This window comes from Homo sapiens, chromosome 22, assembly GCF_000001405.40.
Source record: "Homo sapiens chromosome 22, GRCh38.p14 Primary Assembly".
Taxonomy (NCBI): domain Eukaryota; kingdom Metazoa; phylum Chordata; class Mammalia; order Primates; family Hominidae; genus Homo; species Homo sapiens.
The window spans coordinates 44,215,676-44,239,217 of NC_000022.11; the positions used below are offsets into that span (position 1 = coordinate 44,215,676).

The window sequence follows — 23,542 nt, forward strand, 5'->3', positions numbered from 1 at the left end:
ACAGCTAGTGTACAACCCATATTATGGCTGTGGTTATGAGCCCTGGCTAAGCCCATCTGGCTTATGGTTATGACTCTTTAGGGGAGGTTTTTATTCATTTTTTACTCATGTCCAAGATTGATATAGACAAGTGTCCTTGCTTTCCCTTTCTTCAGCCCCACTTCCCCATCTTATTCCAATAGTGAAAGCATAGTCCTTTGGGGGATACCAGCTTTATGTGGGGTTTCCTGATTTTTTTTTTTTTTTGAGACAGAGTCTCACACTGTCGCCCAGGCTGGAGTGCAGTGGCGTTATCTCGGCTCACTGCAACTTCCACCTCCTGGGTTCAAGCGATTTTCCTGCCTCAGCCTCCCGAGTAGCTGGGACTACAGGCGCCTGCCACCACGCCCAGCTAATTTTTGTATTTTAGTAGAGATGGGTTTCACCAAGTTGGTCAGGCTGCACTCGAACTCCTGATCTCAAGTGATCTGCCTACCTTGGCCTCCCAAAGTGCTGGGATTACAGGCGTGAGCCACTGCACCCTGCCAGGTTTCCTGATTTCCTTTGATGGGTGGGCCCTGGCTTTCCTCCCATCCTCAGGGCCAAATGCGGTCATCACAAAGGAAGATCAGATAACCAGGCATGGCTGAGGTCCCCCAGGCAAAGTCAGCTTTGGCAACTGCTCACCTCTTGGGATTTCACTTTCACTTGAAGTTCTCCGGTTTGTATTTTCCTTGTTCTTGCTTGCTCAGTGTGGCACATTTTAACACATACATTATAGATCTCTATGTATATATGCACATATAAAATACATTCATATACATACATACATATACATTATATTTTCCGTTACTTTGCAGTGGGACTCTTGTTCAGTGATTAAGTCTGCCATACTGTGGAAAATAGAAGCATTCTCTGGTAGCACATAGTAGATTTTTAATAAGCAGCAAAAAGTATCTTTAAAATCCTCCCTCTCCATCTCGAGTCCCCACATGGAGGCATCTGCTCTCCCACCATCCGTTCTCCTCCATTCAGGAAAGCCCTCCGCCTGCCTAGCTCTGTCTCCCAGCCCAGCCCCTGATCCAGCCAGACAGTGGGGGAGGGGTAGCATGTATCTATAGATAGTCTTCTCCATCACGTCGGTACAGTCGGCCTTCAATGTCTGCGGGTTCCACATCTTCAGATTCAACAACCTTGGATCAAGAATATTCAGAGGAAAGGCAGGGTGCGGTGGCTCACGCCTGTAATCCCAGCACTTTTGGGAGGCCGAGGTGGGTGGATCGCTTGAGGTCAGGAGTTTGAGACCAACCTGGCGAAACCCTGTTTCTACCAAAAATACAAAAATTAGCCGGGTATGGTGGGGCACGCCTGTAATTCCAGCTATTCGGGAGGCTGAGGCAGGAGAATCACTTGAACTCTGGAGGTGGAGGTTGCAGTGAGCTGAGATCATGCCACTGCACTCCAGCCTGGTGACAGAGTGAGACTCTGTCTCCACAAAAAAAAAAAAAAAAAAAAAAAATTTAAAACTATTTACATAGCATTCACATTGTATCAGGGATTATAGGTAACCTAGAGATGATTTATAAGTACATGGGAGGATGTGTGAAGGTTATATGCAAATACTATGTCATTTTATATCAAGGACTTGAGCATTTGTGGATTTTGGTATCCTCGGGGGGTCCTGGAACCAATCCCCAGGATACTGAGGGACGACTGTATACACCGGCCACAAAAGGCTTTGGTGCTTTCTTCTCAAGGACACAATTAGTGTGGGGTGTGCTGGGAGATGGAATCTTCTTGAAGAGCTGGTCCTGACTCTGCTGGAGGACAGAGTAGGCTGGGGTAGCTGTTCTAGAAGAAGGAAACGGCCTGAGTCCCAGGGGCTGAGGGAGGCAAGAAATGGGTGCGAGGGAGCCCACAGCCTGAAACAGAGACTCAGCTTCCCTGTGGGCTCACCTGCGGGAGGCAGAGGCCCCAGGTGACGGGGCGTAGCAGGCAGGTTCTATATCAGCATCAGGCAGAGTGGGGTTTTTTTTGTTTTTGTTTTTGTTTTGAGACAGGGTCTTGCTCTGTTTCTCAGGCTGGAGTGCAGTGGTGAGATCATGGCTCACTGCAGCCTCAACCTCCTGGGCTCAAGCATCCTCTCACCTCAGGCTCCCGAGTAGCTGGGACTATAGGCCTGTGCTACCATGTCCAGCCAATTTTTAAATTTTTTTAGAGATGGGTTTGCACTATGTTGTCCAGGTTGGTCTCGAACCCCTGGCCTCAAGTGATCCTCCTGCCTCAGCCTCCTGAAGTGCTGGGACTACAGGCGTGAACTACTGTGCCTGACCAGACAGAGCTTTCTAATGGGCAAGAATGGCATCCATGGCCTTAGAGGCAGTGAGTCCCCATCCAGAGGGGTGTCAGCAGAGGGAGGAACCGCCTTTTGAGGAGTCTGCACAGGGTTCTGGCCTCCAGTGTGCAGGGCAGAATGGGGTGCTCCTAATGGGTTGGGTTCCACACCCTGGACCAGTGCCTTGTTCAGGCCACCCTGGGCACAGACCCTATGCCCTGTCCTGTCTGCTCTGGCTATCAAAATCTGGGCTGTGGTGGTCAGACAGGGCCCACCAGCTGATGTCCATTCACCATTTAGGAGACCCTGGGGACCGGCAGGATGTCATTGGGACCAAGGGTAAGACCAGTGTCCCTGGGTCACATAGAAAGCACCGGTCATGCTGTTCTCATGAGGCTGCTCAAACCTAATCACGCGTGTAACATCTGGGGGGTACAGGCAGACCGACTCTGAGGGGACAAGGCCCTTCCCTGCTCACAGCCTCGGTCTCCCCCCTTTTAGGGCAGGAGGCTCCAACCTTGAGATTCCAGGGCATCACCCTCCCTGCTCTGGGCTTCTCAGAAGCACCCCCCCCCAACCACCACCCGCAACACACACACATCTCTGGCTGAATCTCCCTGGGAGCAGCAGATGACAGCAGGGCTTGTGGTGCTGCAACAGTGGCCTGGTGTGACGTGGTGATGGTTTCCGGAGCAAGGGGCAGGATCTCTGAAGAGCAGAGTGGACTTCCTAGGAGCTGGGGAAACCTCACAGCTCCTCCCTCCCTCACACGGCAGCTTCCAAGGTACTGGGAGGGCCCCAGTAATGCATGTGCAGTGGCGTGATCTCGAATCGCTGCGACCCTCGCCTCCTGGGTTCAAGTGATTCTCCTGCCTCAGCCTCCTGAGTAGCTGGGATTACAAGCGCCTGCTGCCACACCTGGCTAACTTTTGTATTTTTAGTAGAGATGGGGTTTTCACCATGTTGGCTAGGCTGGTCTTGAACTCCTGACCTCAGGTGATCTGCCTGCCTCGGCCTCCCAAAGTGCTGGGATTACAGGCATGAGCCGCCGCGCCTGGCCCACATGGTATAGTTTCTATACACCTGGTAAGAGGAGAATATCTTTGTGTTTCTTTAGTTAAAATGACAGACTGTAGAAGCTTTGCGCCCTGTAATGCCTGAACCTGGACCCGGAGCTGTTGAAATGAGGCTGCTCCAGAAAAGCTGTGCTCTGAGACCCCTGGGGCTGGGACACTCGGCAACTTCTTTCCAGTGGAGCCTCCAGGCCTGACCGGCCTTCCCACAGCTGGGGGATCCTGCAGGTCTAATCAGGTCCCCTGACTTACACCCAAGCTACCCTCTAGCAAGGCAGCAACTGCGGGCGGGCGGATAGCCGGGTTCCAATCCCTGCTCACGCTTTCCCTGCGTGGCCACTGCACCAGACAGGCTTCCTCATTATGGGGGTGGGGATTATGATGCCAATCATAACAGCTTCCCGTCTTTCCTGTCTTCCAGTTCCCTCCAGCTGCCGGATAAACCTCCCAAACACAACTGTGTGAGAGAACCCTGGTTTTGGGTCTTGCTATGTTCCTGGCCTCTGTGGTTAAGGAATCCAGCCGGGGACTGGCGGGCGTCTCAGCTCCCCTCCCCAGTTTCTGGGGCCTCAGGTAGGAAGGCTGGACAGGCGGGAGGTGACCGGATGCTGGGGCTGCACTCATCCTGGGGAGGCAGTTCACCCCCACCTCGGGTCCCAGGTGGACTTGGCTCATACTGCTGATGGAGCGAGGGGGCACAAGTGGCCTCCCTGTGTGCCTTGGGCTTCTCAGGACGTGAGAGCCTGGCTCTGAGTGTCCTGGGAGTGGTCACACTCCCCGGCCTCACCATGCTTTATGATGGAGGCAGTCACGGTTGCCTTGTCCTCTGCAGAGTCCCGAGGTGGTGCAGGGCATCACATGGTGAGGGGCTGAGTGTGCTGGCTCAGGTCTCTCTTCTGCCTTGTATAAAGCCACTAATGCCACTCTCATCATAACCCATTAATTCATTAGTCCATTCATCTATTAAGCTTCTAATCTGTGTATGGATTAACCCATTCACGAGGGCAGAACCCTCATGATCCAATCGCCTCTTTTTTTTGTTTGTTTGTTTTTTGAGATGTAGTGTCACTCTGTCACCCAGGCTGGAGTGCAATGGTGTGATCTCAGCTCACTGCAACCTCTGCCTCCCTGGTTCAAGCAATTCTCCTGCCTCAGCCTTCAACTAGCTGGGATTACAGGCGTCTGCCACCACACCTGGCTAGTTGTTTTGTATTTTTAGTAGAGACGGGGTTTTGCCATGTTGGCCAGGCTGATTTTGAACTCCTGTCCTTAAGTCATCCACCAGCCTTGGCCTCCCAAAGTGCTAGGATTACAGGCGTGGGCCACTGCACCTGGCCCCAATCACCTGTTGAAGGCTCCACCTCTCTTGGCCGGGCACGGATCACCTGAGGTTGGGAGTTTGAGACCAGCCTGACCAACATGGAGAAACTCCGTCTCTACTAAAAATATACAAAATTAGCCGGGCATGGTGGTGCACACCTGTAATCCCAGCAACTCAGGAGGCTGAAGCAGGAGAATCGCTTGAACCTGGGAGGCGGAGGTTTCAGTGAGCTGAGATCGTGCCACTGCACTCCAGCCTGGGCAACAAGAGCAAAACTCCATCTTAAAAAAAAAATGGCTCCACCTCTCAACACTGCCAAATTGGCAATTCAGTTTCCCATAAGTTTTAAAGGAGGCAAATATTCAAACCATATCAGTGGGCCACTGTGGCATCAAGAGCCTTGTGGGGTTTGAGATGTGAGAGCCTAGAACCACCAAGGAGAGGGGGCCGTGGAAAGCGAATGATGACCCAGCAGGGGGTGGGGCCTCACGCAGGCTCTGTGAGCAGCTGACTGTGAAGAGCTGTTGCCCGCTGGGCAGGCAGCTCAGATCCTCTCCTGGGTGAAGACAGAATGTTTCAAATGCAGCTTCCCTGAGGGCACAGCTTCTATCTCAGACCAACTCCTGGGACAATATGGCCCGTCTGGAGGGAGCCGGGAGGAGGGCACTGGGAAGGTCCTGGGCCCTTTCTCTTCCAGGCGCCGGCAGGGAACCCCACCCTGGCAGGCGTGGGGAGAGGCCACAGCGGCAGGCACCGTGGCCAGCTGGAGCGGGGACGCATCTGACAAAATACTTCCCCCACCCCCGATTTGTGAATCTAATTTTAGGAAAAATTTTACACAGTGTAAAAGCCTTTAAACACACGTAGCTACACATTTTACAAGCTGCTTCTATCGATAAGAATAAAATTACATATAAGAAACATCAGCTTCAAGCAAAACTACCCTCCATTCGGGGACACATCTCACTGGGATCACTTGCTGTGGAGGTGGAGGCGCACTGATGCGTTGGCACTCATGGCTGCCCCTGGCATTTTGCAGGTATTATTTGAGTTCCCGCACACTCATTTGACAGGAGCCCAGAGCTGCCAGGTTAACAGCCACAGCATGGCTGAGCAGGGGGCTTCCATGGGATGCCCCGGGGGCCAGGGCAGGATTCAGGAACTGGGGCCAGATGCTGAGAGTGGCTGTGACCTTGCAGTGTGGAAGGAAAGAAGGTGTGGGGCAGGGGCACTCCACTCTTTGGGACCAGCCTCTCATCCACGCATCCCACTCATATTTATGGAGCACCCGTCACCTGAGTGGTTTTGATCCTTCTGTGAGGTAGCTCAGGGTTACCATAACATATGACCACAAACTAGGTGGCCTAAATCAACAGCAGTGTCTTCTCTCACAGTTCTAGAGCCCAGCGTCCGAAATCTAGGTGTTGGCAGGGTTGATTCCTTCTGGAGGCTCTGAGGGTGAGTCTGCTCCGGACCCCTCTTGCCCAGCCTCCAGTGGGTCCTGGAAGCTCTCGGCATTCCTTGGCTTGTGGTCGCATCCCTCTCCTCTCTGCCTGCAATGTCACGTGGCCTTCCCTGTGGGTGCCATCTGTGTCTGAGTATCTCAAACCTCCCTCTCCTTCTTCTCATGAGGATGCCAGTCAGTAGATTCAGGTCGGGCTTTGTCTTAATCACATCTGCAAAAACCCCATATCCGAATAAGGTCACATTCACAGCTCCTGGGGTTAGCATGCAGATGTGTCATTTTGGGAACACCGTGCAGCTCACTGCAACCTCAGAGAAGGCCCAGGAGGGATGGGGTTTTCCTTGATGAGGTCTCTGCAGGGCTGCCCCCTGGGTGAGGGAAGCTGGCACATGGGCCCAAAGGGCAGAGGGGGGCCGTTGGCTGAGGGGAGGGAGACAGAGGGGCCTCAGTCGCAGGAGGAGCTGCCTCACAGTCTGGCAATCACAGTAAGTCTGGGGCTTCAGGGAGCAGCCAGACCCAGTGTCCTGACTCAGCCCCTCTTCTGTGGGTGTCTTAGTCCATTTTTTGTTGCTTATAACAGAATACCTGAAACTTGGTTTTTTATAAGGAAAAGCAAATTACTTCTTACAGGTACGGAGGCTGAAAAGTCCAAGGTCAAGGCACTACATCTGGTGAGGACCTTCTTGCTGGTGGAGGCTCTCTGCAGAGTCCCGAGGTGGCACAGGGCATCACATGGTGAGGGGCTGAGCATGCTGGCTCAGGTCTCTCTCCCTTCTTGTATAAAGCCACTAATGCCACTCCTGTCATAACCCATTAATCCATTAGCCCATTCATCTACTAAGCTACTAATCTGTGAATGGATTAACCTATTCAGGAGAGCAGAACCCTCATGATCCAATCACCTCTAAAGGCTCCACCTCTCAACACTGCCAAATTGCCAATTAAGTTTTACATGAGTTTTGAAAGGGGTAAATACTCAAACCATAGCCGTGGGCCATTGTGACCTCAAGAGCCTCCTCAATGTGTCTGCCCTCTGTGATTCCAAGCCCACCCAGACCCTCCTCCCAGCACCACTCAGAGAAGACAGGAAGGCCAGAAGACCTAGAGTTGGTGGGGGTGGGGAAGGTGGGGAGGTGACCTGGGGGAGGGGCTGCTCAAGGATGATGCACACCCGGACAGGTGGCCCATGCCCTGCGACCAAGTGCCCAATTGCCTTACTCCAGGTTTTTTTTTTGTTTGTTTGTTTGTTTTTTTTTTTTAGACGGAGTCTCACTGTGTTGCCCACGCTGGAGCACAATGGCACAATCTCCACTAACTGCAACCTCCACCTTCCAGGTTCAAGCAATTCTTGTGCCTCAGCCTCCCGAGTAGCTGGGATTACAGGCATGTGCCACCATGCCTGGCTAATTTTTGTGTTTTCAGTAGAGACAGGGTTTCCCCATATTGGTCAGGCTAGTCTTGAACTCCTGACCTCAAGTGATCCACCCCGCTTGGCCTCTCAAAGTGCTGGGATTACAGGCATGAGCCACTGCACCCAGCCCTCCAGTTTTTGATCCTGGGACTGACTCTTCCACAGTGAGAATGTCAAGGGTGCCTGCCCACCTCTTGGAATTCCCTCTGCAATCCCGTCCCTCTGTTCAGAATTCTGCCCTCACTTGGACCCACACATAGAGCTCCTTCCTGTCACCCAGCTCTCAGCTTAGTTGACACTGCTCAGTGTCAACTAATGCAAAAAGCCTCATCACCCTCTCCTGTGGCCTTGCGTCCTCTGCACTGCATAAGCACGAGCTGGACTCTCCTCCCTCTCCTCCCTGTGCTGCTGTGTGTAGGTTCCTATTTGTCTCTCCAGTGAGGGCAGGGACCCTGAAGGACCAGTTCACGGCATCCCACGTCTAGAGAACTGCTCAACACATTACAGGAATTCAAGAAAGAAGTTTGTCAAATGAAGGAACTTTCTAACTTTCTGAACCAACTAACGATGGCATGGACCACTTGGTGGTAGTGAGCTCCCTGCCATTGGTGGTATTTAAGCAGTAGTTGGATGACACTCAGAGGGTGCATTACAGAGACAAACGCAGGAGGTAGAGTTCAAGCTTAGGGCAAACACAGATCCTTCCCAGGGTCTCTGACCATTCAGTGTCCCCTTCCCTGCTACCACCTTGCCCTGAGACCCTGGGGGATGCCTTTCTTTTCTCTGAGCCCTAGTCTCTCAACAGTTCTAGAAAACAAAAGGTGGCAGCATCTATTTGGCTGAGCCACCCAGATAGAAAAGGCTGCAGAAGCAAAGACCAATATTTATTCATTATCATATTCAGAAATTAGACTGGGGAGCCACAAATAGACATTTCTAACAAGAGCCTGTCTGTCCCTGCCTCTCGGGTTCATCCTGCACACTCCTCGTTCATGTCACGTCTTGCTGCCTCCCGCACTGGGGGTTTGGCTTGAATATTTGCCAGCCACTCAATTATTTTCTGGGGTGATTCATGGGAACGTGGGACGTCCAACTGCAGTTGGGATGTTCTTTTAAAAGAGCATGTGCCGCTCCCAATGGGGCCGCATCTGAGCGAGGCACAGGGCTCGCTCTCCTCTGGGGATGGGCATGCAGGGGTGGGGAAGAGCATGTGCCACTGACTGGAAGGGGCCCCATCAAAGCCCGGGCTTTACCAGGGAGCAGTCCGTCTGTTTTGTGCCCTGCCACAGGTGCTCCACTCCTAGCATCAGCATTCATGCACCCACTGTTTCTCCATCTTTATTTTATTTTATTTTATATTTTATTTTTTGAGATGGGGTCTCACTTTGTTGCCCAGGCTGGAGTGCAGTGGTCTGATCACAGCTTACTGCTGCCTGGAATTCCTGGGACTACAGGCATGCAACACTACATCAGACTAATTTTTACAATTTTTGTAGAAACAGGGGTCTCATTATGTTGCCCAGACTGGTCTCAAACTCCTGGTCTCAAGCAGTCCTTCCTACCTCAGCCTCCCAAAGTGTTAGGATTACAGGTGAAAGCCGGTGTACCCTGATTGTTCCTCCATCTTCAAAAACAGTCTTGATCTCTACTCCTTCCTCTGCTTTCATGTTTGTTTGTTTTTTTTAAATGTAGCCCAGGCTGGATAGAGCGCAGTGGCGTGATCTCAGCTCACTGCAAACAGCCTCCTGGATTCAAGCGATTCTCCTGCCTCAGCCTCCCGAGTAGCTGGAATTACAGGCATGGGCCACCATGCCTGGCTATTTTTGTAGTTTTAGTAGAGATGGGGTTTCACCATGTTGTCCAGGCTGGTCTCAAACTCCTGACCTCAGGTGATCTGCCCGCCTCAACCTCCCGCTGGGATTACAGGTGTGAGCCACGGCGCCTGGCCACTTCCATGTTTCTTTCCCCCTCTGGATAGCAAAGCTCTTTGAAGGAGCAAAACTCCTCCCCATCTTTCTTGAACACCCCTCTCCAGCACACTCGTGACCCCATGGATTCCCTGAGGCTTAATGAAGTCAGCAGTGACCCCCAACCCAAAACCCAGGGTTGGCTGGCAGACGTCAGCTGTCTGAGCCACCCTCTGAGTCTGACTCTGCTGGCTGGTCTCTCTCTCCTCCTTGCTGCCCTCTCCTCACCTGGCTGCCAGGACTCTGCTGCTCTCAGCCTTGTTCCCATCTCTCTGGTAGTTCCACCTCAGTCCCTTGCTGGCTCTTTTATGTGTCCTTGACCTTGAACGTGTTGGCGCATTCTGGAGCTCAGTCCTTACCGTGTCTTGTTTTATTACCCTCTCATTCCCTTACTGATCTCATCCTGCCTCGGGGTTTTAAATGCCCTCCAGATGCCAGTGACTCCCATGTACGCCTCCAGCCTGGACCTCTGTCCTGACTCCTGACCTCCAACTAGGTTTTCAACGTGGATGTCAAAGACACCTCTGCTCACATCCAACACGTCCAACACTGATCTCCTCATTTCCTCCCACCTCCCCATCTGGGTTGGTGGCTGCCCTGTCTTCCCCGTGGCTTGGGCCAGGAGCCTGTGTTTATCCATGGTTCCTTTTTCTGCTGCACTCTACATCCAATCTGTCAGGAAATTATCGTTTCATTGCCCCAGTGCATCCGGAATCTGATGGCTTCTCTCCACCCTGCCCCGTTTCCATCCTAGTGCAAGCCACCTTCATCCTTGCCTCTGCAGTCTGTTCTTAGCACTGCAGTCAGAAGAAGCCTTTACACGGTAAGCCAGATTATGCTGCTCCTCTGCCCAAACCTTGCCGAGGCTCCTCCTTTTCACCTGAAATGCAAGCCAGCGTCCTTCCCGGACTCTGCAAAGCCCCAGATAATTTGACTGGCTCCCTGCACCTTCTCTAACATCCCCTTCTATTACCCCTCCTGCATTCCACCCCCCTTCACTTTCTCCTGTTCACTGGGCTCCAGCCACACTGCCCTCCTTCCCATTCCTCCAACCTGCCAGGCATACACCTGCCCCAGGGCCTTTGCACTTGTGGTTCCTTCTGCTCAGATGCTCTTGTCTCAGATATTCGCTGGGCTCACACCCTCACCTCCTTTACCTCTGTGCTTACCTTCTCCATGCAACCTCTCTCAACCAACATTTTTAATAATTCAAACACCTCACCTGTCCCTGCTCCACAATGCAATAGCTACAGATGTGACACACTTTAAAGTTGAATTTGCATCATTAACATTTTCTCCATCACTTGCTTAAGTCTAGACAATCAACAGAACAATCAGTCAGGCCCTGATGTGCATTGTTTGCCAATTCCCATGGTGTATATAGTTCCACCAAGGCCAATTCTAAACTACCTATGTGACGCCCCTGAACACAGTCTTGGAGAGGGATGCACAGAAGCACGCCATTATATAGTATTTTGTAATAAATATAAGTCACCCTAGGAGCATCAATAATAGTAAAATGAGGTAAGATAATTAGGACGTGATTACTCTGAGTATGCATTACCTTTGTTTTTAATAAAATGTACTTAATTGGAAGTTTGTGTAATTTAATTTTTTTATTGGCTACATTTAACAACTGACTCGCAAAAATTCCTGAAAAATTAACAGTAGACTTTCACCAGCCAGTATATGCTGGCTCCAGCATACCCCTGAGAATGGTTGATTAATATGGAATGGCCATGCTGTGGAATTTTATGCAACTATTTAAAATAATGAATTGGAGCTCTATAGGGGATTTGGAGGAATTTTCACAAAGAATTGTCAAATAAGAAAGCAAAATATATAGAACCACAGAGTCATTTTTATAACACAGTGATCCTCTCCTCAATAAAACCCTCTCTATATGTGTCTGTACACATTAATAAATAATTGCATAAGTATCCAGAATCAACTTGATTTGGGGGCATAGGATGTGATGTGTGGGAAGGAGAAAAGGAAGCCAACCAAAATAGGAAAACAGAACCAAAAAGACTGCCAGGAAAGCAAATTATACAGATGGTAACACATTTTGGCATTTAAGCATAATATATGTATTTGTTCCTATCATTAAAATACATTTTTAAACCAAGTCCTCATTTGGACAGTTGTTCAGGTTATCTATTGCCTTATAACAAACCACCCTAAAACTCAGTAACTCAGTAGTTCAAATTGCCAACAACCATTTATTATGACAAGCCTGTGAGTCGCACATGTGGTGTGTCTGCTTCACATGGTGTTGGGATACTGGGATGGCTGCAGGGTTCAACACGACCTCCCTCACATGGCTGGGGGTTGATGCTGGCTGCAAGCTGGGAGTTCAGCTGGGCCTATCAGGAAGGGACCTGAACTCTTCTCTATGTTGACCTCTCCACGTGGCTACTTGGGCTTCCTCACAGCATGGTGACTGAGTTCTAAGAAGAAGCACTCCAAGAGGCAAAGGCTGGAGCTGTGTCATTTCCGCCATATTCTATTGATCACAATGATGACAGGTCAGGTCAGATTCACGGGGAGGAGATACAACATTCACCTTTTGATGGAAGTGGCAAGATAATATCACAACAGTGCATGTGGTAAGGGAAATTTTGTGGTAATTGTCTTTGGAAACACAAAAGACCGCAATGATCCAAGCCCTTGATCATGTGGCACAAAGTCTTCACTTCCCTGGGGTGAAGACCCAGTGAAACCCTCAGTGACAACCCCCAGGAGGGTTTTCTTCCGCGTTGACCGAGCTGTCTGTGGGTAACATTATGTTATATTTGTATATTGGTTGCAACTATCAATTGGCTGCAGGTACAAGACTTTGGCAAAAATCATAAAAGCATTCTGTGAGAATCAGTTGAATATATACATTTTATAAAACAGAGTATCATATATTTTATTATTATTTGTAAACTTTGTGTCACAAATCTTCTAGTGTTAATAAATTTTATAATAAAAGTAGACGTGTGTATATATGATATATATGTGTATATGCATTTTTCCCCTGTAGCACACCTCTAAGTCTTCCTCTGCTGATAAGCATCATTTTGTTTCTATTCTACCATGGAATTCCATTTTACTCATGCTGGGTTCAAAGGGTATGTGCATTTTTAATTTTAATAGATATTTTCAGATTGCTTTCAACAGAAGTTATAATTCTCATTTCTAGCAGCAGTGCATAAGAGTACCCTTTTCTCACACAGCTGCCAACAATAGATTTGTAGATTTATTTTTTGCCAGTCTGAAAGGCATAAAGTGGTATCTTATTATTTCAACTGGCTCCCCTCTGCCATCCCAGGAAGTCTGAAGGTCTTTTCTTATGTTGGGTGACATTTGGCTTCCTTCTGTGACTTGCCTCTTGGTTTTTCTGTTTTTCTATTGGGTTGTTTATTCCTTCCCTGTCAATTTGTGCATGTTCTCTGTATATTAAATTTCAGCCTTACAAGTGGCTCTGTGTTCCAAATCTCAATTATATATTGACTTTACATCATCTTTTGTCATACAAAAATTAATTTTTGCATTACCAAATGTTTATCATTCCTTCTATAGCTCCTGGGTATCTGGTCTTGGTTAGGAACCTGTCCCTTTGTTGAGAGTGTTGATATAACCTTTCAGAATTTCTTGCTGAATTTTTATTGTTCTGTTTAAGCCTTTAATATAAATCTTATTTTCATATATGGCTAAAACAGGAGTCCAATTTTATTTTTTTTCTGGATAAGTAGCCTGTTATGCCAGTTAAATCTTTGTGGTTTAGTGAAAAACAAAATAATTATGTATTAAATAATAATTCCCCACTGCATTGAAATGCTACTTTTGTTATATTAAGTTATTATATATACTCACATATATTTTATATTCTAATCTGTCATTCTTATGCCAATGACATATTGGTTTGGTCATAGTATTTTTGTAGTATGTTTTAATTTGGGGGATTTTAGGCAGGCAATATATAACACTATTTCTGGGATAAAAACAATAATTATGTATTAAATAATAATTCCCCACTGTATTGAAATGCTACTTTTGTTAAATTATTATCTATACTCACATATATTTTATATTCTAATCTGTCATTCTTATGCCAATGACATATCGATCTGGTCATAGTGTTTTTGTAGTATGTTTTAATTTGGGCGGTTTTAGGCAGGCAATATATAACACTATTTCTGGGATGAGGTCATGAAGAGTGCCTCTTTTATTCTGTTTCCCTTTCCATGACATTCACTGCTGGGAGGCTCTGTGTTGAAATTGTGGAGACACAAGATGAAAGCAATTGGATCCCTGCGTCACTTTATGGAGGAGAGTTTCTTCCCTGGAGCTTTGCCTGATTACATCATCTTTGTGTGAGTGATAAACAACCCTTTGTTTTTTACTTCAGCATAGCCTATCCTGTCCCAACTAATCATTGGTGCTGCTGTGTCAAAAAGCCAAAATATACAGCATTAGCTTAGTGGCTGGTGGTGTGTGCCAAGGACACTGCTACTGGAGGCTGGGGCATGACAATCTGTACTATTAATGGTAACACACTTGTTAAATGGCACACTTGCATTAAGAAGGCTAAGAAAGAAGGCTATTGTAAGCGTATCTTGGCTGTTGATTTTATTCAACAAAGTCTTACAAGAAATAAGTGTCTAGTTTGTGAGCAGCAATAAAGGAAATAGAGAAATTCCAGAAAGTTAGGGCTTTGCAAAATTAAAAAGCCGACTGCTTCCAGATGCCAACTAACTTGAAACAGGATTGACAACACCATTGAGCAACAAAGGCCCAAACTACCTCAGGGCAAAAGGCAGATTAAAAAGATCCAGATAGACTCAAGGTAAGTGCCATGATATTGTGTGTGTGAGAGAGATGGGGGAGCAAAGAAGGTAAATAAGTTGAGATCTACCTCTCAAAAAGAACTTTTCAGGGAGTTATGGTACAGGGAACTCTTTGGAAACAAATCAAAAGCAGACTAAGTTTTTAAGGACATGGTATTACAAAAGAAACCCACAGTTTGAACTAAAAAAGGCTTGGACTATTCATGACTTAAAACAAGCTGTAGCTCCCCAATTTTCCATGGGCCAACAGCAGCTGAGTTTCACAGTCCAAACACAGCATATTCTTCCACGTCCATTTGAGATGTGGCCAAGGAGGGTGATGGAATGACAAAAGGGCCAGGGAGAACAAGGAACAAGGGACTTCTTCCTGGAGAAGCTTAATGAAGAAATCTTCTCTAACGAGGGTAGGAGTTTTCACAATGTCTACTCAGAAGGATTTCAGAATTGTTACCCCTACTTTTCTTCATTCTCTCCACTTAAAACTAAAAGTGTTTACTGCAGTTGTCCTAACCCCACTCCATCATTGAATATTGGGTCTGTATAGGAGGAAAGGAATATGTCTCTTCTAGTTTATAAATCTCCAGACCAAGAAGAAGCAGGTATAGACCTGATGGAGAGCACTACGCGGTTCACTTGAAGACCCTCAATTTCTTTTTCTTTCTTTCTTTCTTTTTTTTTTCTTTTTTTTTATTTTTTATTTTTAGAGTCAGGGTTTCACCATATTGGTGTATTGGTGACTGGCCTCAAACTCCTGGCCTCAGGTGATCCACCCGCCTTGGTCTCCCAAAGTGTTGGGATTACAGACGTGAGCCACTGCACCCAGCCTAAGAAGATTTCAGAATTGTTACCCCTATCTGTCTTCATTCTCTCCATTTAAAACTAAAAGTGTTTACTGCAGTTGTCCTAACCCCACTCCATCATTGAATATTGGGTCTGTATAGGAGGAAAGGAATATGTCTCTTCTAGTTTATAAATCTCCAGACCAAGAAGAAGCAGGTATAGACCTGATGGAGAGCACTAGGCGTTCACTTGAAGACCCTCAATTTCTTTTTCTTTCTTTCTTTCTTTTTTTTTTTTTTTAGAGACAGGGTTTCACCATATTGGTGTATTGGTGACTGGCCTCAGACTCCTTACCTCAGGTGATCCACCCGCCTTGGTCTCCCAAAGTGTTGGGATTACAGACGTGAGCCACTGCTCCTAGCCTAAGAAAACTCTCAATTTCAAGCTGGATTTGCTGACTTATGGGAGTGGGGTTTTCTCTCTTGAGAAAGCGAGAGTATGTTCTACATATGGGGAAAACAATGACCAGAGGGGCATGCAGGAAGATTACACTTCCTACTTCCTGGTAGTTAGGTGGGGCCATGTGACTAATTCTAGCAAATGAAATGTGAGTGGAAGTGTCATGTACCACTTCTGGCCAAAGTTTAAAAGTTGATGTGTTTCCCTAACACTCTGTCTTTCGTCATGGTGACCTTGGAGGCCACCAGTGAGGTGATGGTGGACAGGATGAAGGATGCCTAGAACTAAAGGGGTTTTCACTAACCCACGTTAGATTTTGCATGAATGAGATAACATATTGCTTTCTCTCTCTCTCTCTCTCTCTTTTTTTTTTTTTTTTTTTTTTTTTTTTGAGATGGAGCTGCGTTCTTGTTCACCAGGCTGAAGTGCTATGTGCCTCACCGCAACCTCTGCCGCCCGGGTTCAAGTGATTCTCCTGCCTCAGCCTCCTGAGTAGCTGGTACTACAGGCATGCACCACCATGCCTGGCTAATTTTTTATTTTAGTAGAGATGGGGTTTCTCCATGTTGGTCAGGCTGGTCTCAAACTCATGACGTCAGGTGATCTGCCCGCCTCAGCCTCCCAAACTGCTGGGATTACGTATTTCTTAATGTTTAGCTACTGGGAATAATTTATGTTAGATTATTTTAGGTTTTCTACCTATACAATCATATCATCTGTGAAAGGTAATGTTTGAAAATTTCTTCCTTTTTGATCCTTACACCTTTTGTTTCTTGTCTGCGTCTTGCTGTACTGCCTGGGACTTCGTAGTCAATGTTGGGTAGAAGCGATGACAGCTGGGACCATGGGCTTGCTTCTTACAGGAAAGGAAAGCTTTCCATATTTCAGGTATTGAGACAAGTAAGATGTTTTCTGTAGTTTTTTGTGGCTATCTAGTGTCTGTTAAAACAAAGTTCCCTTGGACTCCTAGCTTGCCTAGCTGTTTTTATCTCGAATGGCTGTTGAACTTTACAATTTTTTGTATCTCTTGAAATGATCATATATTTTTCTATTAAAGAAAAAATGCGAATTCTCCTGATTATATTTATTGTTTTCTGATGTCAAAGCAACCTGATTGATATGGTTTGGCTCTGTGTCCTCACCCAAATCTCACCTTGAATTGTAATAATCCCCAGGTGTCAAGGGTAGGACCAGGTGGAGATAATTGAATCATGGGTTGGGGGGGTGTGGTTTCCCTCATGCTGTTCTCGTGAGAGTGAGTGAGTTCTCAGGAGATCTGATGGTTTTATAAGGGGCTGCCTCCACCACGTCGCTCTTCTTTCTGCTCTCATCTGAGACGGAGTTTCGCTCTTGTTGCCCAGGCTGGAGTGCAATGCGGCTCACCGCAACCTCTGCCTCCCGGGTTCAAGCGATTCTCCTGCCCCAGCCTCCCGAGTAGCTGGGACTACAGGCATGTGCCACCCTGTGCCACCCTGTGAAGAGGTGCCTTCTGCCATGATTGTAAGTTTCCTGAGGCCTCCCCAGCCAAGTGGAACTGTGAGTCATTAAACCTCTTTTCTTTATAAGTTACCCAGTTTTAAGTATGTCTTATAGTAGTGTGAGAATGCACTAATGAGCTGACATTTCTGTTCATATACCTGATTAGGTCATGCTGAATTCTGTTTATTGTCTTTTAATCGGGATTTTTGCGTCTATGCTGACGAGTGAGACTGACTTTGTCAGGTTTTAGTATCAGGGTAATTCTAGTCTCAAAAATGAATTGAGGCCATTTTATGCTCTTTAATATTCATTTTCTATTCTCTAGAAGAGCTTGTATATGATTGGCATGGTTTCTAGAAGAGCTTATGATTGGCATGGTCTCTTCCTTAAATGTTTGGTTGAATTTGTAGGCCTGGGTTTTTTTTTTCCTTTTTACTTTTATTTTACTTTAAGTTCTGGGATACAAGTACAGAACGTGCAGGTTTGTTACATAAGTATACATGTGCCATGGTGGTTTGCTGCACCTACCAACCCGTCAGCTAGGTTTTAAGCCCTGCAAGCATTAGGTATTTGTCCTAATGCTCTCCCTCTCCCTGCCCCCCAGCCCCGACAGGCCCTGGTGTGTGATGTTCCCCTCCCTGTGTCCCTGTGTTCTCATTGTTCAACTCCCATTTATGAGTGAGGATATGTGGTATTTTCTCTTCCTGTGTTAGTCTGTCTGCTGAGAGTGATGGTTTCCAGCTTCATCCATGTCCCTGGGGTTTTCTTAGTGGGAGAGATTTGGTTATGGATTCAATTGATTTAATTACTATAGGACCCTTTACATTTCTATATTTCTATATCAGCTTTGAAAATTTGTACTTTTTAAAGAAAAGTATTTCTTTTACATTTTCAAACGCTTTGGATATTTTTTCATAACAATTTCCTTTTTAGTCCTTTTGGGCTGCTGTAACAGAATACCTCAGACTGGGTAACTTACAAACAATAGAAATTAATTTCTCACAGTTCTGAATACTGGGTAGTCCAAGATCAAGGAACTGGCTGATGTGGGGTCTGGGGAAGCCTCGCTCTCTGCCTCCAAGATGGCGGCTTGTTGCTGTGTCCTCTGGGGATGAATGCTGTGTCTTCACATGGTAGAAGAGATGGAAAAGCAAAAAGGTCCAGAAAGTCCCCTCCAGCCCTTTTATAATGTCACTAATTCCATTCATGAGGGCTCCATCCTCAAGACTTAATTTCTTCCTAAGGGCCCTGACTCTTAATACTATCACATTAGGTCTTAGGTTTCAAAATATTAATTTTGGGGGAAAACATGCATTCAAACCATTTCAGCCTGTTTTCATTTTTGTGCTTGCTGGAGGTGTAGTGGTGTCTTCTTTCTAATTTCTGATATTGGGAAATTGTGTCTTCTTTCATTTTTATCATATGAGTTTTGCCAGGGATTTATCAATTTTATTTTATTTTTTAAAGAACTAACATTTGGCCTTGCTGATCATCTCTGTGTTATGTTTTCCTTTTTCTTTAGTTGTGTATTTATCTTCATTGTTCTGTTCCTTTTTATTTACTTTGTGTTTATTTGACCGTTCTTTTTTTTTTTTTTTTTTTTTTTGAGATGGAGTCTTTCTCTGTCACCCAGGCTGCCACCCTCCGCCTCCCGGGTTCAAGTGATTCTCTTGCCTCAGCCTCCCGAGTAGCTGGGATTACCGGCGTGTGCCACTGCCTGGCCAATTTTTTGTATTTTTAGTAGAGATGGGGTTTCACCATATTGGTCAGGCTGGTCTTGAACTCCTGACCTCGTGATCCGCCCACCTTGGCCTCCCAAAGTGCTGGGACTACAGGCATGAGCCACCGTGCCGGCCGACTCTTCTATTTTTAATTTGTGAAAAGTATGGCTGACATTAGTTTTCAGTCAGTTAAACTTGTGTATCAACTTGGGGAAAATTGACACATTTACTGTGTTTTCTTCCAACTCACGAACATGCTACGTCTCTTCATTAATTTAGATGTTCTTTGATTTCTTCACCAAGATATGCTCTTAAGCTTGAATTTTCTTTTAAGCACTTATTTATCTGAATCACATAAATTTAAATATGGAACAATTCCCTTATACTCAAATGTATTCTAATTTTCATTATGGTTTATTCTTTGATATTAGCCTATTTATATTTCTTGTTTTCCAAACATATGGAAATTTTTATATTTTTATATACATATATATAAAATTTCTTTTTCTTTTTTTTTTTTTTGAGACAGAGTCTTGTTCTGTCACTTAGGCTGGAGTGCAATGGCACAACCTTGGCTCACTGCAACCTTCGCCTCCCAGGTTCAAGTGATTCTCGTGCCTCAGCCTCAGCCTCCTGAGAAGCTGAGATTACAGGTGTGCACCACTATGCTCAGCTATTTTTTTGTATTTTTAGTAGAGATGGGGGTTTAGTATATATATATAAATATATATAATATAAAATAATTTATATATATAAATTATATATATTTTATATATAATTATACACAAAAATTATATATATTTTATATATAATTATATACAAAAATTATATTTTATATATAATTATATACAAAATTATATATATTTTATATATAATTATATATAAAAATTATATATAATATATAATATGTATTATATAATATATAATATCTATTATATATTATATATGTCAATTATATATATTATATATATAATTATATATAATGTATATAATACCTATTATATATAATATATAATAATTATATATATAATATATAATAATTATATATATAATATATATAATATATTATATATAATTTATATATAATATATAATATATATAATATCTATTATATATATGTGGATTATATATAATAGATAGAATAGATATTTTATATATAATATAGTTTTTCTAGTATAGATATGGACTATATATGGAACTATAGGAATTTTCTAATTTTTACACACACACATATATATATACACACACTAGCTAGATATATATATTTTCGTGTGTGTGTGTGTGTGTGTGTGTGTGTGTGTGTGTGTTTGTGTGTGTATGCTAGAATATCCCCATATGTTTGGAAAACAGCATTCATCCCCAGAGAACACAGCAACAAGGCGCTATATTGGAGGCAGAGAGTGAGTCTTCCCCAGACCCCACATCTGCCAGTGCCTTGATCTTGGACTTCCCAGCCTTCAGAACTGTGAGAAATATAGTAGAAAATTCCTATATATATCTATTTTATAGAATTCTATCTTAATGGCATTGTGGTCAAATAATGTCCTCTGAAGTTCACTGATACTTGCTTAATTATACAGTATAAGGTAACTTTTTGTAAAAGTTCTGTGTCTGCATGAGGAAAATGTGTATTGGCATGTGTCGAATGCATTGTTCTAGATATCTCCATTAGGTAGATTTCTTAATCACATTCAGTTCTTCATATTCTTACTTGTCTTTCATCTGATTGTTTGACCTGTTATAGAGAGAAGTATGCTAAAATTTCCCAGTATAATTGTGATTTTGTCTACTTCTTATAGTTCTATCAGTTTTGGTACATGTATTTTGAGGTTATGTGTCAGCAGGTGCCTACCAATTTAAGATAGTTATATTTTCTTGTAGAATTGGCTTTTATCATTATGAAATGTTATCCTATATCTTTGTAATACTTCTCATCTTTAAGTATACTTTATCTAATATTATTACAGATACACCAGTTTTTCTGTTTATTGTTTGTTTGAGTTGGTGCTTGCACAGTATATCTTTTCCCATCCTTTTACTTGCACTTACTTTCTGTGACCTAATGTTGTAAATGTCTTTTATAAATAACATATAGTTGGTGTTTTTTGGTTTTTTTAAAAATCCAATCTGATAGTGTTTGTGTTTTAAATGGTGCATTTCATTCCCCTATATTTGATGTAATTACTAAAATATTTGGTTTTAAATATTTTAATTATGTGATTTTTTTTTTGGTCTCACCTGTTTTATATTCTTTCTTCTCAATTGTTATTTTCTTCTTTTGGATAAGTGCATTTTGTCATTCCATGTTTTCCTTTATATTAGCTTGGAAGTTATATTTTCTTTTACTGTTATTGCAACGGTTACCCTGGAGATTACAAAATGCATCCTTAACATAATATTGTAAATATTGTTTGGTATTCCTGGACAATCCGAGGACCTAACAGTACTTTAACTTATACCCCTTCTGTGTTCTTTGCAGTTGTTGTGTATTTTATGTCTGTATATTTTAAAACTCACGAGACATTTTTACAACCATCAAATCAGCCATTCTTTATTTAGATTTGCCCCAGATATATCCTTCCTGTTGCTCTTTATTCCTTTCTGTGTCATCAACCTCTGCCTGGGATCATTTGTTTTACTGCCTAAAGAATACACTTTGGTATGTTTTTTAAAGTTAGGGTCTATTAGTTATTAGTTATATATTTTAAAAATTTTAATCTTTTCTAAGAAGTCTTATTTTATCTTCACTCTTGAAAGATATTTTTGCTAGGTTTAGAATTCTAGTTTGGCACTTTCTTTTAACATATATGCTGTTTGATATAATAGTATAAAATAATATTATATTGTCCTTTAGTTTCCAGTACTTTTATTGTAGTTTGCAAGTCTAATTGTGCTTCTTGGAAGTTAATCTCCACTCCCACCCCCACCCCTTTTCTGACTGCTTTTAAGGTTTTCTCTTTGTCTTCTACTTCAGTTTAGTAGAGCTTCTTGAACTTGTGGCTTGATGTCTTTCAGTAGTTGCAGAAAATTCTTAGCCTTTTATCTCTTCAAATAGTATTTCTCCTCCAATCCCTTTCACCTTGCCTACTGGAACAATTATATCTCAGTTATATATCTCCTTTCAGTATATATATCATATACATATATATACATATATATATGTGTATATATATGACTGCTAAGTACTTTTCTGTGTTTTTCATCCTTTTATCCCCTGATCTTCATTCTGGATGTTTTCTTGTGACATATCTTCAGGTTGATTAATTAAGTTGTGTCTAATCTGATTTTTAAAATTAAACCTTTTTATTCTGAGATAATTGCATATGCACGTGCAGTTGTAAGAAGTAGTACAGAGACATTCTTTTACCTGGTTTCCCTCAGTTGCAGCATCTTGCAAAACTACATTACAATATTACAACTAGGATACTGACATCAACACACTGAAGATACAGAGCATTTCCATCACAAGGATCCCTCCTGTGGCTCTTTGATAGCCACACCCACTTTCCTCCTGCCCCACCCCCTCCTTAATCCCTGACAATCATTAATATTAATATGGTATCCATTTTTATAATTGCATCATTTTAAGAGTATTATATAAATACAATATGTAACTTGTGGTGGTTGGCTTTTTCATTAAGCATAATATCTGGAGCTTCATCCAGATTTTTGCATGTATCAATAGTTACTTTTTATTGTTGCATTGTATTCCATGTTATGAATGTACTACAATTTGTTTATCCATTCTCCAGCTGACGTACATGTGGATTTTTCCCACATGTGTTTTTCATCATTTTATCTCTGTCATAAACAAAGTTGCTATAAACAGTGATTTACAGGTTTTTGTATGAATATTAGTTTTAATTTAAATGGAATAAATGTGCAGGAGTACTGTTGTTGGGTTAGATGGTAGTTGCATGTTCAGTTTTCTTTTTTTTTCTTTCTATATTTTTTTTGAGATGGAATCTTGCTCTGTCGCCCAGGCTGGAGTGTAGTGGCATGATCTCGGCTCACTGCAACCTCCACCTCCCAGGTTCAAGCAATTCTCCTGCCTCAGCCTCCCAAGTAGCTGGGCTTACAGGCGCCCACCACTACGCCTGGCTAATTTTTGTATTTTTAGTAGAGATGGGGTTTCACCATCTTGACCAGTCTGGTCTCGAACTCCCGACCTCATGATCCAGCTGCCTTGGCCTCCCAAAGTGCTGGGATTACAGGCGTAAGCTGCCTCACACAGCCACGTGTTCAGTTTCTAAAGAAACTACCAAACTGTTTTCCAGAGTAGCTGTAACATTTTACAGCCCCACCAGTAAGGTTTTTTATTTTTGCTATTCTGATAGGTGTGTAGTGATATTACATTGTGGTTTTAATAGGCATCTGCCTAATGATTAATTATGTTAAATATTGTTTCATGTACTTATTTGCTGTCTCTATTTAACAAAACAGTATAAAACTTATATCCTGAAAACTGTAAAACATTCTTGAAAGAAATTTTAAAAGGTCTAAATAAATAAAAAGACATCCTATGTTCATGGATTGGAACACTTAATATTGTTAATGTGACAATACTCACCAAATTGATCTATACATTCAACAAAGTCCTTCCGGAAATCCTAGCTACCTTATTTGCAAAAATTGACAAGCTGATCCTAACATTCATATGGAAATGCAAGAGACCCATATTAGCCAAAATAGTCTTGAAAAAGAAGAACAAAATTTG

At 43.8% G+C, this 23,542-nt stretch overlaps 1 annotated feature.

Moving 5' to 3' along the window:
• Positions 5,348-5,900: an enhancer, noted in NCBI's record as "H3K4me1 hESC enhancer chr22:44616903-44617455 (GRCh37/hg19 assembly coordinates)". NCBI's record gives its function as "activates a minimal SCP1, AML or CMV promoter by ChIP-STARR-seq in primed H9 embryonic stem cells {active_cell/tissue: H9 hESC(primed)}" and the evidence as "EXISTENCE:reporter gene assay evidence [ECO:0000049][PMID:30033119]".